Raw genomic sequence first — 16,660 nt, 5'->3', positions numbered from 1 at the left:
TTTGAGACCAGCCTGGCCAACATGGCAAAACCCCATCTCCATTAAAAATACAAAAATTAGGCTGGGTGAGGTGGCTCACGCCTGTAATGCCAGCACTTTGGGAGGCTGAGGTGGGTGGATCATTTGAGGTCAGGAGTTCGAGACCAGCTTGGCCAACATAGTGAAACCCCTTCTCTACTAAAAATACACAGATTAGCCGGGCGTGGTGGCGCAGGTGCCTATAATCCCACCTACTCGGGAAGCTAAGGCTGGAGAATCGCTTGAACCGTGGAGGTTGCAGTGAGCTGAGATTGCACCATTGCACTCCAATCTGGGTGACAAGAATGAAACTCTGTCTAAAAAAAAAATACAAAAATTACCCAAGCATGGTGGCACATGCCTGTAATCCCAGCTACTCGGGAGGCTGAGACAGGAAAATTGCTTGAACTCAGGAGGTGGAGGTTGCAGTGAGCCAAGATCACACCACTGCACTCCAGCCTGGGCAACAGAATGAGATTCCATCTAAAAATAAATAAATAAATAAATAAATAAATAAATAGAAAAATTAATAAGGAAAATCTTAGAGTACCTAGAGAAAAATGAACACATTACCTAGAAGGGCAAAGAAGACAAATACAGTGGACTTCTTGTCACAAACTATGTACACCGGAAGATAATGGAATAACATCTTTAAAGTACTAAAATAAAAACTATTAACTTAAAATTTTTTCCATCTTTAAACTATGAACATGAGACACCTATTAGCATCCTGTACCTCATAATGTCATGAACTGAGACAGGTAAACATCACTTCTGTGGTTTTCATGCCAAAATGTATGCTTACGTTTAGTCATGAGAGACATGAAACTCAAATTGAGACGAGTTTTACAAAATAATTGACCAGTGTAATAAATTAGTTGATTCCATGATGTTCAACTGCTGAGTTTTCAAGCCCCCACCCCCACTCCTCCTTTCCCTTTTATCCAAAACCTGGGCAAGCCAATAATAAAGGCAGAAGCTGGGCGTGGTGGCTCACGCCTATAATCCCAGCACTTTGGGAGGCCAAGGTTGACGGATCACTTGAGGCCTGGAGTTTGAGACCAGCTTGGCCAACATGGCAAAACCCTATCTCTACTGAAAATACAAAATTAGCTGGGCATGGTGGCGCATGCCAGTAATCCCAGCAACTTGGGAGGCTGAGGCACGAGAATTGCTTGAATTTGGGAGGCAGAGGTTGCAATGAACCGAGATTGCACCACTGCACTCCAGCCTGGGCAGCAGGGTGAGACTCTGTCTCCAAAATAATAATAATGATAAGAATAATAATGCCAGGGTACTCTCCTCCCTTAATGCCAGGGTACTCTCCTCCCTTGCACCAGTAGGGAAATTCAAACCACAAAACCCTGGCCTGTGCATCAGAACTCTCACCCCAGCTTTACTCCCTAACAGTAAAACCCAGGGCCACTTGCATCTCCTTGTTCTCAAGCTGTTTTTAGGCCTTCTTAAGAGCCTGCCCTGTTCTGCACAGAAAACCTCATTACACGAGTAATAAGCTTTTTCAAACCCTCTGTATGTGTGTATGTGGCATCACCAATCTTGATGTCTAAACCAAATCTGGGGTAGAGATTTGATCCCTTCCTCTGTGGGGCAATCACAAGACAACTGGCACAGGGAACAGCGTACCTTAGATGATAGCCACCCACCATCAGGGGTCTCTCTCCTCTCACTTTGGCTTGCTATTGATTCTGCTGCCTATTGGCAAGCTTACACTTCGAGCTGTGCTGCTTTGTTCCACATTTGCTGAGGACTACTAAATCTCTGTTACAGATGTAACTGACCTGAATTGAAAGTTTCTATAATTGGCATTTTGAGACAGAAATATGAAATTGAGGATGTCCTTAAAGTGGCCCTAAAATGTGAGCCCCGTCTGGACCTATCTGTGCATCTTAGATTGAATTGTATGTCTTGATTCTGGCATAAACCATCGCCGATCCTAGGCTCAAGGGCATGACACTTATTATTTTGTGACTGTTGGTTGTATGTCCCAACCAGGCATTAGCCTATGTTCTATAGAGTGTGCAGGAGAAAGGCTGATACTCTGTGCAACATACAGGGCCATCTGGTGGTTGCTCCGGTGAGGAAGCGCAGTCACCAGGATTAAAGATAAAAACACTCAATAGCACTCCATGCCATGAACCCTTATAAAAACTAGGCCAGAATGCCTTACTCCATCTCTCTTAAAGGGTCAGAGGACACCACCATCACCCTACCAGATAACTATAAAACAGACCCAGAAAGAAGCTGGGTTTGATTAAGTGCTGCACCTTATCAAACTGTCAAGGGATTCATTCAAATCCAACTCAAGGCTGGGTGCAGTGGTTCATGCCTGTAATCTTAATGCTTTGGGAGGCTGAGGTGGGAGAATTGCTGGAGTCTAGGAGTTCAAGATCAGCCTGGGAAACATAGTAAGACCTCGTCTAGGCCGGGCATGGTGGCTCATGCCTGTAATCCCAGCACTTTGGGAGGCCGAGGCGGGCGGATCACGAGGTCAAGAGATTGAGACCATGCTGGCCAACATGGTGAAACCTCATCTCTACTAAAAACATAAAAATTAGCTGAGTGTGGTGGTGCGTGCCTGTAGTCCCAGCTACTCGAGAGGCTGAGGCAGGAGAATCGCTTGAACCTGGGAGATGGAGGTTGCAGTGAGCTGAGATTGCGCCACTGTACTCCAGCCTGGCAACAGAGCGTGACTCTGTCAAAAAAACAAACAAACAAATAAAACCTCATCTATACAAAAAATTTTAAAATTAGCCAGGTATGGTGACATGTACCTGTAGTCCCAGCTACTTGGGGGGCTGAGGTGAGAAGATTGCTGGAGTTTGAGGCTGCAGTGAGCCATGATTGTGCCACTGCACTCCAGCCTGGGTGACAGAGTAAGACCTTGTCATTAAAAAAATCCAGGGGTTGGGTGCAGTAGTCATGCCTGTACCTGTAATCCCAACACTTGGGGGGCTGAGGTGGGCAGATCACTTGAGGTCAGCAGTTTGAGACCAGCCTGGCCAACATGGCAAAACCCCATCTCTACCAAAAATACAAAAATTAGCCAGAGGTGGGGGCGTGTAGTCCCAGCTACTGGGGAGGCTGAGGCGTGAGAATCACTTGAACCTAGTAGCAGAGGTTGGACTGAGCTGGGATTGTGCCTCTGCACTCCAGCCTGGGCAACAGAGTAAGACCCTGTCTCAAAAAAAAAAAAAAAAATCCACTAGCCTGGGCACCACAGCAAAACCCCATCTCTACAAAAAATGCAAAAATCAGCTGGGTGTGGTGTTGGGTGCCTATAGTCCCAGCTACTCTGGAGGATGAGGTGGTAGGATCACTTGAGCTGATGAGTTTGAGGCTGCAGTGAGCCAACATCACACCATTGCACTCCAACCTGGGAGACAGAGCGAGACTGCCAAAAAATAAAAAATAAAAAATAAATAAAAATCCAACTTAAGTCTACAGTCCCTAAATCAAATAAAATAACAATTGCCATGAAAGTGGCTGCCATAAGGCCAGGTGCAGTGGCTCACGCCTTGTAATCTCAGCACTTTGGGAGTCCAAGGCAGGCAGATCACGAGGTCAGGAGATCTAGATAATCCTGGCTAACACAGTGAAACCCCGTCTCTACTAAAAGTAAAAAAAATTGGCCTGGCATCGTAGCGGGCCCCTGTAGTCCCACCTACTCGGGAGGCTGAGGCAGGAGAATGGCGTGAACCCGGGAGGCGGAGCTTGCAGTAAGCTGAGATCGCACCACTGCACTCCAGCCTGGGCTACAGAGCGAGACTCCGTCTCAAAAAAAAAAAAAAAAGAAAAAAAAAAGAAAATGGCTGTCATGAAAGTGGCCCCTAACCCTGAGGGTACTGATTTGGGACTCTCCAGAAGAAGAAACGTAAATATGAGCAGAGAAGAGAAGCTCCCTCCCCCTGAAGTACATCCAGTAACTCCCCCCAGACACACACACACACACACACACACACACAACTTAACAGAGGTTCATGATTTAACCCAGTTGCAAATCTTAAATTTACTCTAAAAACTATACAATAAAAAGATATTTAAAGAAGGAAGGGAGGGTCTTGTTGGCTTTTGCACTTGTACAACATAAGTTCTAAATTAACTTTAGGCCAGGCGTGGTGGCTCATGCCTATAATCCCAACACTTTGGGAGGCCAAGGCAGGTGGATTACCTGAGGTCAGGAGTTCGAGACCAGCCTGGCCAATATGGTGAAACTCCATCTCTACTAAAAAATACAAAACTAGGCTGGGCGCGGTGGCTCATGCCTGTAATAAAAGCTCTTTGGGATGCCGAGGCAGGCAGATCACGAGGTCAGGAGATCGAGACCAGCCTGGATAACACACAAAAAAATTAGCCAGGTGTGGTGGCACGCGCCTGTAGTCCCAGCTACTCTGGAGGCTGAGGCAGGAGAATCGCTTGAACCCAGGAGGCAGATGTTGCAGTGAGCCGAGATCATGGCACTGCACTCCAGCCTGGGCGACAGAGCGAGACTCTGTCTCAAAAAAAAAAAAAAAAAAAAAAAAAAAAAGAAAAGAAGAAGAAGAACTATTGATTTGCCTAAATTCCCCATATTCATAGTGCCTGTTGCCCTAAAATATTCCACAATGGACATGTACTCTGGCCTAGTGAGTACTAAACAAAAACAAAATTAAGTTTTTGGCAATTACAACTGGCTTAACAAAATGAGAACCTGAGCCTTTATCATAACCTATTAAAACTGTTCACACAGATAAAACTAGGTATCCTGAGAGTGACTCTGTATAAAAAATAAATAAATAAAATGTACTAGGACCTTTTCGAGACAGGGTCTCACTCTGTGGCCCAGGCTGGAGTGCAGTGGTGCAATCTCAGCTCACTGCAGCTTCCCCTTCCCAGGTTCAGGTGATCCTGCCACCTCAGCCTCCCTAGTAGCTAGGACTACAGGCACACGCCACTTGTTTCGGCTAATTTTTGTATTTTTGTTTGTAGAGATGGGTTTTTTCCCATGTTTTCCAGGCTGGTCTCAAACTCCTGGACTCATGCAATCCACATGCCTCAGCCTCCCAAAGTGCTAGGATTACAGATGTGAGCCACCGCACCTAGCCATAAGCTCAAAACCCATTATATAAGACCTATTTAGAGAAGGGTGATTGTCCCCAGTTTTTCTCCACTCCAAATTGTCCTGGTCTTAAACCTAGAATGAATGAAGGATGCCTGATGGTGGATTACCACAATCATAATGCTGCAGTTCCACTTAAGAGTTCCTGGCACTCCTGAAACCCTTGAAATCTTTAGGCTAATATGTGTCTTTTGCATGCTAATGAAATGATTAGCTGGGAGTGCTAGATAGCTTCAAGATGGGGGCTGATGATCAGAAAGACCAAGGCATTAAAAGTTTGGAACTTTCAGGCTCATCTCAGACCTATGGGGCGGGGAGAGGGCTGGAGATTGAATCAGTCACCAATGGCCAATAATTTAATCAATCATGCCTAGGTAATTAAACCTCCATAAGTCCCTTCTACCCTACAGGGTTCTGTAAACACGTGGAGGTCCCGGGAGAGTGAAGCACTCAGGGCATGGAAACTCTGGGGGTACCCTCCTCCACCCCCGCTCAATACCCTTCCCTGGGCATCTCTTCCATCTGGCTGTTCCTGAATTGCATCCTTTATAATAAGCCAGTAAATGTAAGTAAAGTATTTTCCCGAGTTCTGTGAGCTATTCCAGTAAATTATGGAAACTGAGGAGGGGGTCATGAGAACACCCGATTTTTAACTGGCCAGTCAGAAGTACAGGAGGCCTGGGACTTGTGACTGGTCTCTAAAGATGGGGCAATCTCGTGGGAACTGATGTGAACTCCAGGTAGATAGTGTCAGAATGAAACTGAATTGCTGGACACCCAGTTGGTTTTCAGAGAGTTGGAGAATTGGTTGGTGTATTAGGTCGTTTTCAGGCTGCTGATAAAGATATACCCGAGACTGGGAAGAAAAGAGGTATAATGGACTTACAATTCCAAATGGCTGGGGAGGCCTCACGATCATGGCAGAAGGCAAGGAGGAACAAATCACATCTTACATGGATGGCAGCAGGCAAGAGAAAGAGAGCTTGTGCAGGGAAACTCCCGTTTTTAAAACCATCAGATCTTGTGAGACTTATCCACTATCATGAGAATAGCACAGGAAAGACCCACCCTCATGTTTCAATTACTTCCCACTGGGTTCCTCCCACGACATGTAGGAATTGTGGGAGTTACAATTCAAGATGAGATTTGGGTGGGAACACAGTCAAACCATATCAGTTGGTATAGGGGAAAAAACCCATACATTTAGTGTCAGAAGTGTTGTGAGTAAAAAACAGGCCAGCTTCTATACTACTAAAATTACTGCCTCCCTCCAATCAGCAACTGGCAAATACTTTGCTATCATATATTTGGGCTAATATGTTCTCTTAAGTTCCCGTTTCAGCCAGCTTGTCTTTACCATTGCATGGACACAATATACTAACTACCCATGGGACCCCCAACAGACCTGCCATTGCACACGATCTTTGCAAACAAAAACCTTAACTGCATCCAACTCTCTCCAGAAACACAAGTATGATGTTAGATATATGACATCCTTCTCAGAGGAAATTAATTTTTTAAAAAGACAGGGTCTTGAGGCCGGGCGCGGTGGCTCACGCCTGTAATCCCAGCACTTTGGGAGGCCGAGGTGGGTGGATCATGAGGTCAAGAGATCGAGACCATCCTGGCCAACATGGTGAAACCCCGTCTCTACTAAAAATACAAAAAAAATAGCCGGATGTGGCGGCAGGTGCCTGTAGTCCCAGCTACTCGGGAGGCTGAGGCAGGAGAATGGCATGAACCCAGGAGGCTGAGCTTGCAGTGATCCGAGATCACGCCACTGCACTCCAGCCTGGGCAACAGTGTGAGACTCTGTCTCGAAAAAAAAAAATAAATAAATAAATAAATAATAAAAATAAAAAGACAGGATCTTATGATGTTGCCCAGGCTGGAGTGCAGTAGCTATTCACAAGTACAGTCATAGCACACTGCAGCCTCAAACTCCTGGGCTCAAACGATCCTCCCCTCTCAGCCTCCTGAAGTAGTTGGGTGCAGTGGAAATTCATTTGATACACTAATTTAACGCATACAAACATTCAAAAGGCAGCTCATGAAAAAGGATGGGTCATTTCTTCCACACAAAGTACAAGGTACAAGCACAAGTATACCTCAGTAAAATTTCTGGGTATTACTTAGTAAATTGAGAGCTGTTTATCCTTGACATTTCTGACATTGTCAAGAAATCTCTATTGACCCTCTTAGCACCCACAATGCTAAAAGCCCAGTATCTTTTAGAACTCTGGGGGTTCTGAAGCAACATGTTCCTCCTTTGCAAATTTTAATTAAGACATTTTTGGTTTTTTTTTTTGAGTCAGAATCTCCCTCTGCCACCAAGGCTGGACTGCAGTGGCATGATCTTGGCTCACTGCAACCTCTGCTTCTCAGGTTCAAGTGATCCTCCTGCCTCAGCCTCCCAAGAAGCTGGGATAACACGCACCCACCACCACGCTCAGCTAATTTTTTTGTATTTTTTTAGTAGAAACGGGGTTTCAGCATGTTGGCCAGGCTGGTCTCGAACTCCTGACCTCAAGTTATCCACCCGCTTTGGCCTCCCAAAGTGCTGGGATTACAGGTGTGAACCACTGCACCCGGCCCTACTTAAGCCCATTTTTGCTGTTCCTTACAAATTGGTTCACCTGAATGGGGTCCACTAAAACAAAAGGCTTAAAACCTGTTCAAATTGCAAAAGGACAGACCCTACTGTTAGTGCTCCCCAGAAATTCCTTCACTGTAGAGGCTTTAGCAACCTCCTCTCATACTTCCAGAGACTGTTAGTGCTCCCCAGAAATTCCTTCACTGTAGAGGCTTTAGCAACCTCCTCTCATACTTCCAGAGTCTTTGGTTCACTTATGATGGCCATAAATAGTCTGTGGGTTTCCGATGCAAGAAATCGCCTTCCTCAGCCTGATGCTATACATTATTAGAGTGACAATAGCTGACTGCATACTGGACTCTTCCAAAAAAGGAGGCTCTTACAGGCCTTGAGACCATGACACACTAGCTGCCCGCTATGCCTTGGGCCATGGAAGGCACACCCCCAAAGCTTGGCATGGCTATTGAGGCTTCCTTGCTAAAATGAAAATAGTATCTACAGTATGGAGCCAAATCTGGGTCCTGTAGCATATCCTGCCTGCAGGAGGCCATGGGCTCCCCTGTCCTCAGTTTCTGGCCAGACACCACAGTGCTGAAGGAGGTCATTCCTCTCTCAGACCCCTTGGCTTCTTGGGGATCCCTTTGGGATCAACTGAGTGAACAGCAAAGGGAATTCACATACTTTAAAAATGGCAGTGCTACCGTCACAACTGATTCTATTTGTGTTTTCCATCCCTTAACAGACATCCCTGATAAAAGACAGGACCCAAGGGTCCACACAATTTGCCAAACTTCAAGCAGTCATCTTAGCAACAAAGGATGCCCTGCCCAATAAGCAACCCCATCTTAACATTTTTCAGACCCTTAGGCCATTGCCAATTACCTGGCTATCTGGTCTGACTAATGGCAACAACAGTTCTTTATCCAAGGTCATCCTCTTTGGGGTAAAGAACTCTGGAAATGTCTTGCTTGAAGATACCCAGAAATATAAATCAAGGTCAGATATATCTCTGCACATACTCAAGCCACAATACAAGGCCTCACCAAGATACTCCTTATCCCCTTCAGAGTTCCATACATTCTTGAGAGTGACCGAGGCATTCATTTCACTTCTCAAAATACATAACATTAGGCTCTTTAATAAGAAGGCATTGAACAGAAATTTTATCCCCCTTACTGGCCTCAGGCTGCAGGCCTCATAGAGTACCATCACAGCATACTTAAACAGGTTTAAATTTAATTTAAAAAAACAGGATACATTTCAGTAATCCATTAAACATCAGGGGTGAATTGTAACAGAATCCAATTCCATATTTGATGTTTGACCACTGACAGCTTTGAAGCCCCACAACTCCTCCTTAATCTTTTGCCCTCCATTTGGTAGACAAAAAAGCCTAGGTGTTTCCTCCCTTGGCTCCAGCAGGGAAGTTCAAACACTGGCCTGTGCATGGGAAAACCATGCCCTATCCCCAGCCCTTAACCTCAATAAGACCCAAGGCAACTTGCCCCTCCCTTGTTCTCAAGCCATTTTGGGGCCTTTTGGGGAGCCTGTTGTGCTCTGCCCAGAATGCCTCATGCCCTCTTTGTGTATATGTGGCATCATCAGTCTCCACATTCAAACCACATTTGGGTAGAGTTGCTGATCTTTGCTCTGCAGGGCAACCACAAACAACCAGCACAAGTGTCAAGAAAGGAAGCCTGAGGAACTATCCCAGATTAAAGGAGACTAAGAAGAAAAGACAATTAAAGGCAATAAGCAACCCTAGATTGAATACTGGTCAAGAAAAGGGGCAATAGTAGGACAATGGACAAAACTGGAATAAGGTCTCCAGGTGAGCTAATAGTATTGTATCAATGTCAATCTTTTAGTTTGGATGGTAGTTTTGTGGATGTTACCGTATGAAGAAATTGGGAAATAGGTTTATGGAAATTTTTTGGGCAATTTTGTAATTCTTCATAAGTATAATATTATTGCAAATTATAAAGTTTTAAAATGTTTTACCTTTAAATGACTATTTCAGACAAAAGCTAAAAGAAACTGTCGCCAGCATACCTGCAGTATACAAATGTTAAATATGCATATAAATATAAAACACCTTATTTCATTTTAATATATTTAAAAGACAATTTACTATTTAAGCAAAACATAATAGCAATGTACTGCAGGGCTCATAGCTACAGATAAATTATATGTCAGCAATAGCCACAAAAGAGAAGGAAATAGAAGTATACTATTGTATCACCATACATGAGGTAATATTCTTTTTATTTTATTTTTAATTTTTTTAGAGACAAGCTCTTTCTCTGTAGCCCAGGCTGGAGAGCAGTGATGTGATCGCAGCTCACTGCAGCCTCGAACTTCAGGGCTCAAGCAATCCTCCCCACTTAGCCTCCTGAGTAGCTGGGACTATAGGCACACAGCACTACGCCCAGCTAAGTGATATAATATTCTTTGCAGATAGACCGTGATAAGTTAAAGATGCAAATTATAAATCTCAAATGTGATGGTTAATTTTATGTGTCAACTTGACTAGGCCATGGGGTGCCAGATATTCAGTTAAACATTATTCTGGGTACGTCTACAAGGGTGTTTCTGCATGACATTATTTGAATCAATAGACTGAGTAAAGCACATTGCCCTCCCTAATATGGGTGGACCACATCCAATCGATTGAAGAACTGACAAGAACAAAAAGGCGCTCCTGCCAGTAGTGGAAGGCTCTCCCTGCCTGAATGTTTTTGAGCTGGAACACTGATCTTCTCCAGCCTTTAGACACAGATTCAGACTGGAGTTATGCCACTGATGCTCCTGGGTCCCCAGCTTGTCAACTGCAGATCTTGGGACTTCTCAGCCTCCATAATCATGCAAGCCAATTCCTTATAGTAAATCCTCCTCTGTCTGTCTATCTATCTATCTATCTATCTACCTATCTATCTCCTATAGGTTTTGTTTTTCTGGAAAAATCTGACTAATACATTAAAATAACAGTAACCACTAAAAATTAAAACAAAAAAGTAGGGTTAATAAGCCAACAGTTAGTTGAAATGAAAGAAATCCTGACCAGGCCCAGTGACTCACACCTGTAATTCCAGCACTTTGGGAGGCCGAGGCTGGCAGATCACCTGAGGTCAGGAGTTCGAGACCAGCCTGGCCAACATGGTGAAACCCCATCCCTACTAAAAATACAAAAATTAGCCGGGCATGGTGGCATGCGCCTGTAATCCCAGCTGCTCCAGAGGCTGAGACAGGAGAATCGCTTGAACCCAGGAGGCGGAGGTTTCAGTGAGCCAAGATTGTGCCATTGCACTCTAGCCTGGGGAACAAGAATGAAACTCCGTCTCAAAAACAAAACAACAACAACAAAAAGAAATCTTAAAACATATTCAATCTAAAAAAAGGCAGAAAAAGAGGAAAAGGGGAACAAATAACAGATAGTATAAATAAAAAACAGATAGCAAGATGGTAGATTTCAACTTAACCAAGTCAATAGGTTTAAATATCAATATAAGAGTAGAGATTGTCAGACTGAATAAAAACACAAGACTCGCCTGTAGTCCTAGCTACTCAGGAGGCTGAGGCTGGAGAACCGCATGAACCCGGGAGGCGGAGCTTGCAGTGAGCCGAGATTGCACCACTGTACTCCAGCCTGGGTGACAGAGCAAGACTCCATCTCAAAAACAAACAAACAAACAAACAAACACAAGACTCAACCATATTCTGCCCACAATAAATCGCTTTTAAATATAGAGACACAGATAGATCAACAATAAAAGGATAAAAATTCCCATTCACATCAAAAAAAAGTTTGAGTGACTATATTAATATGATATATATATATATTTTTTTGAGACAGGATCTCTGTTGCCCAGGTTGGAGTGCAGTGGTGGTGATCATGGCTCACTGCAACCTTCACCTCCCAGGTTCAAGAGATTCTTGTGCCTCAGCCTCCTCAGAGGCTGGGATTACAGGCACACGCCACCACGCCCGGTTATTTTTTTATTTTTATTTTTATTTTTTGAGACAGAGTCTCGCTCTATTGCTGGAGTGCAATGGTGCCATCTCGGCTCACTGCAACCTCTGCCTCCTGGGTTCATGCAATTCTCCTGCCTCAGTCTCCAGAGTAGCTGGGATTACAGGCATGCACCACCACACCAGGCTAATTTTTGTATTTTTAGTAGAGATGAGGTTTCACCATGTTGGCCAGGCTGGTCTCAAACTGCTGACCTCAAGTGATCCACCCGCCTCGGCCTCCTAAACTGCTGTGATTACAGGTGTGAGCCACCGCGTCTGGCATAATTTGTATACTTTAGTAGAGGTGGGGTTTTGCCATGTTGGCCAGTCTGTCTCAAACTCCTGGACTCAAAAGATCTGCCCACCTCGGCCTCCCAAAGTGCTGGGATTACAGGCATGAGCCACCACGCTGGCCATATATATATATATATATATATATATATATATATATATATATACACACACACACACACACACACACACACACATATACATACTAGTATATATATACATATATAGAATATAGATACATAATCTATTGTATATATATTCTAGTATATATATGTATATATATATATATATATATATATATATATTAGAAAATAAGTTACGCTTTAGAACAAGGACTATAGCCATGGACAAAGAAGAGCATTACATAATGACAAAGGGGTCATTTCACTAAGAAAATATATCAATCCTAAATGTGGTACATACCTAATAATAGAGCTTCAAAAATACATGAAGCACCAAAAATGATAGCATTGAAAGGAGAAATCCACAAATTATAGTTGGATATTTCAACATTCTTCACTTGGTAACTGATAGAAGAAGTAAAAAGAAAATCAGTAAGTATACAGAAGATTTGAACAACATCAAATACTTTGACCTTATCGATCTTTACAGATATTCCACTCAGCAATAGCGGAGTCCACATTCTTTTCAAGTGTACATGGAACATTCACCAAAATAGACCATAATCTGAGCCATAAATTAATTCTCAATAAATTGAGAAGGATTGAAATTATATAAATTATGTTCCCTGACCAGAACAGAAGTAAACTGAAAATCAATAACAACAATAGCCAAAACATCTGGAAATGAAACAACACAAACTTAACCCGTAGATCAAATAAGAAAGCATGAAGAAAATTAGAAAATATTTTGAACTAAAGGAAATTGAACAATACCACATGTCACAAAGTGTAAATGCAGTTAAGGAAGTGCTCACAGGGACATTATAGCATCAAATACTTACATTAGAAGAGAAGAAAGGTCTGGCAGCAACACTTTAAGCTTGCACCTTAAGAAGTTAGAAAAAAATAAAAGAGCAAATTAAACCCAAAGTAAGCAGAAGGAAGGAAATAATATAGATGAGTGAAAATTACTGAAATAGAAAATGTGTAAACAATACAGAAAATGAAACCAGCCAGTTTTAAGAACAGCCAGTTTTTTAAAAGGCAGACTGATCAAGAAAAAAAGAAAAAACACAAATTACCATTATCAGGAATGAATGAACATCACTACAGATCATATAGACATTAAAAAGAAGATACTAAGGAAATATTAGGAACAACTATATGCAAATAAACTCAACACTATGGAATACATTAACAAATTTATTGAAAAACACAAACTACCAAAGCTTTCCCAAGAAGAAATATATAATCTGAATAGTCTTATGTATGAAAAGAAATTGAATTTTTTTTTTTTTTTTGAGACGGAGTTTTGCTCTTGTTGCCCAGGCTGTAGTGCAACGGCGCGATCTTGGCTCACAGCAACCTCTGCCTCCCTGGTTCAAGTGATTCTCCTGCCTCAGCCTCCCGAGTAGCTGGGATTACAAGCATGTGCCACCACGCCCGGCTAATTTTGTATTTTTAGTAGAGACAGTGTTTCTCCATGTTGGTCAAGGTGGTCTCAAACTCCAGACCTCGGGTGATCCACCTGCCTTGGCCTCCCAAAGTGCTGGGATTACAGGCGTGAGCCACTGTGCCCGGCAAGAAATTGAATTTGTATCAGAACTCTTCCCACAGCTGTGCATGGAGGCTCATGCCTGTAATCCCAGTGCTTTTTTAAATAAGCCAGGAGTGGTGGCACACGCCTGTAGTCCCAGATACTTGGGAGGCTGAGGCGGGAGGATCACTTGAGCCCAGAAGTTCAAGGCTGCAGTGAGCTATGATTGTGCCACTGTACTCTGGCCTAGGTGACAGAGAGAGACCCTATCTTAAAAAAAAAAAAAAAAAAAAGGCCAGGCCCAGTGGCTCAAGCCTGTAATCCCAGCGCTTTGGGAGGCCGAGGTGGGCGGATCACGAGGTCAGGAGATCGAGACCATCCTGGCTAACACGGTGAAACCCCGTCTCTACTAAAAATACAAAAAATTAGCCAGGCGTAGTGGTGGGTGCCTGTAGTCCCAGCTACTCGGGAGGCTGAGGGAGGAGAATGGCGTGAACCCAGGAGGCGGAGGTTGCAGTGAGCCGAGATTGCGCCACTGCACTCCAGCCTGGGCAACAGAGCGAGACTCTGTCTCGAAAAAAAGAAAAGAAAAAAAGCCAAAGAACAAAAAACTACAGTGAGCCATCACCTCACACCCATTAGGATAGACACTATCAAAAAACAAAACAAAACAAAACAAAAATTAACAGGTGCTGACAAGGATGTGGAGTAATTTGTACGCTGTGCTCTGTTGGTGGGACTGTAAAATGGTGCAGCCACTACGGAAAACAGTATGCAGATTCCTCAGAAAAATTAAAAATAGGATTACCATATGACTCAGCAATACTACTTCATTTATTTATTTATTTATTTATTTATTTATTTATTTATTTATTTTGAGATGGAGTTCTGCTCTTGTTGCCCAGGTTGGAGTGCAATGGTGCGATCTTGGCTCACTGCAACCACCGCCTCCCAGGTTCAAGTGACTCTCCTGCCTCAGCCTTCCGAGTAGCTGGGATTACAGGTACCCGCCATCATGCCCGGCTAATTTTGTGTTTTTAGTAGAGATGGGGTTTCACCATGTTGGTCAGGCTGGTCTCGAACTCCTAACCTCAGGTGATCCACCTGCCTCGGCCTCACAAAGTGCTGGGATTACAGGCATGAGCCACTGCACCTGGCCAATACTACTTCTTAATATATACCCAAAAGGACTGAGAGCAAGAGAGAGCTTGAGGAGATACTTGCACACCCATATTCATTGCAGCACTGTTCACAACAGCTAAGAGGTGGGAGCAAACTAAACGGCCATCAATGGATGAATGGATAAGCAAAATGTAGTATATAAATATAATGGAATATTACTTAGCCTTTAAAAATAAAGAAATCCTGTCACATGCTACAGTGTGGGTGAAACTTGAAGACATGCAAAGTGAAACAAATCAGTCAGAAAAAGACAAATACAGTATGATTCCACTTATATGAGGTATCTAAAGTATTCAAACTTATAGAAACAAAGTAAAATGATAATTGCCAGGTGCTGGGGAAAGAGGGGAATGGGGGGGCGGTTTTTACTCAGTGGGTATTGAGTCCCGTTTTGAAAGATGGAAATATTCTAGAGATCTGTGGCACAACAGTGTGAATGTGCTTAACATACTGAATTGTACACTTAAACAAGGTTAAGATGGTAAAATTTATTATATGTTTTTACCACAATTTTTTAAATGTACAAAAAAAAAAAAAAAAAACAACTCCGAAAAGCAAACAAGCAAAAAACCTCATTGCAAGATTACCACAAACCCACCAGAATGAAGAGAGACAGTGTCAGGTGTTGGTAGGGATATGCAGTAACTGGATCCTGAGTCCTCTCTGTCATTTTTTTTTTTTGTAAAGCTTACTTCTCTATGGATCTCACACATTACTAGTGGGAGTGTAAACTGGTCAACCACTTTGGAAAACTGTCATTATTTAACAAACAAACATTTTCCTACTCTGTTATCCAGCATTTCCACTCCTGGGTCTCCAAGTCCAGGCATCCATCAAAAGACACAGATGTAATGTTCATAACAGCTTTTTCATTATAGCTCCAAACTGAAAATAACCCTTAAGTCCACCAAGAGCCAAACAGGTTAAATACATTGTAATATATTCATACAACTAATATGACACAATGATAAAATGAATGAACTGCTGCCATATACAACACCATGGATGAGTCCCACACAAGTAATACTGAGCAGATGAAGCCAGACAAAAGAATACATACTTATGTTTATATGAAGTTGAAGGATTAGACAAAACTAATCTATGGTGATAGAAAGCCAAATAATTGTTAGGGGGTATGGAGGGATTGACCAGAGAGCTATTGATTGGTAGGAGTTACAATGGGGCCTTCTGGTAAGCCGGAAACATCTTGATCTAGGTGGTGGTTACACAGATGGGATCTATGCAAAAATATATTGAGCCAGAGGTTTAATATTAGGTTCTATAATACTATATATCAACAAAAAGTGAAGAAAAAGTAGAAAAATAGACCCAAATAGAAAAAATTCTGGGGCCGGGCATGGTGGCTCACGCCTGTAATCCCAGCACTTTGGGAGGCTGAGGCGGGCGGATGACCTGAGGTAGGGAGTTCGAGACCAGCCTGACGAACTGGAGAAACCCCATCTCTACTAAAAATACAAAATTAGCTGGGCGTTGGCCGGGTGCAGTGGCTCATGCCTGTAATCTCAGCACTTTGGGAGGCTGAGGCGGGCGGATCACCTGAGGTCGGGAGTTCGAGACCAGCCTGACCAACATGGAGAAACCCCGTCTCTATTAAAAATACAAAAAATTAGCTGCGCATGGTGGCACATGCCTGTAATCCCAGCTACTAGGGAGGCTGAGGCAGGAGAACCCGGGAGGCAGAGGTTGCGGTGAGCTGGGATTGTGCCATTGCACTCCAGCCTGGGCAACAAGAGCGAAACTCTGTCTCAGAAAAAACAAACAAACAAAAA

The 16,660-nt window shown here is 43.2% G+C and overlaps 1 long non-coding RNA gene across 5 annotated transcripts in view; it reads right to left on the bottom strand.

The window, feature by feature from the left end:
- The window catches only part of LINC02086 (long intergenic non-protein coding RNA 2086), a 64,720-nt gene that overhangs the window by 41,920 nt on the left and 6,140 nt on the right, over positions 1-16,660 (bottom strand). For 4 of the 5 annotated variants that reach the window (NR_189645.1, NR_189644.1, NR_189647.1 and 1 more), the window contains exons 2-3: positions 12,994-13,038; positions 12,453-12,556 (exon numbers count right to left, since the gene is read on the bottom strand). This is a non-coding gene — a long non-coding RNA (long intergenic non-protein coding RNA 2086). Of the gene's footprint in view, positions 1-9,728; positions 9,780-12,452; positions 12,557-12,993; positions 13,039-16,660 lie in introns of all 5 variants that reach the window. The other variant, NR_189648.1, reaches the window with a different exon arrangement.

This window comes from Homo sapiens, chromosome 17 (assembly GCF_000001405.40).
Source record: "Homo sapiens chromosome 17, GRCh38.p14 Primary Assembly".
Taxonomy (NCBI): Eukaryota; Metazoa; Chordata; class Mammalia; order Primates; family Hominidae; genus Homo; species Homo sapiens.
Note: the sequence above shows the minus strand (reverse complement) of the source record. Positions and strands in the feature narration are given on the sequence as shown.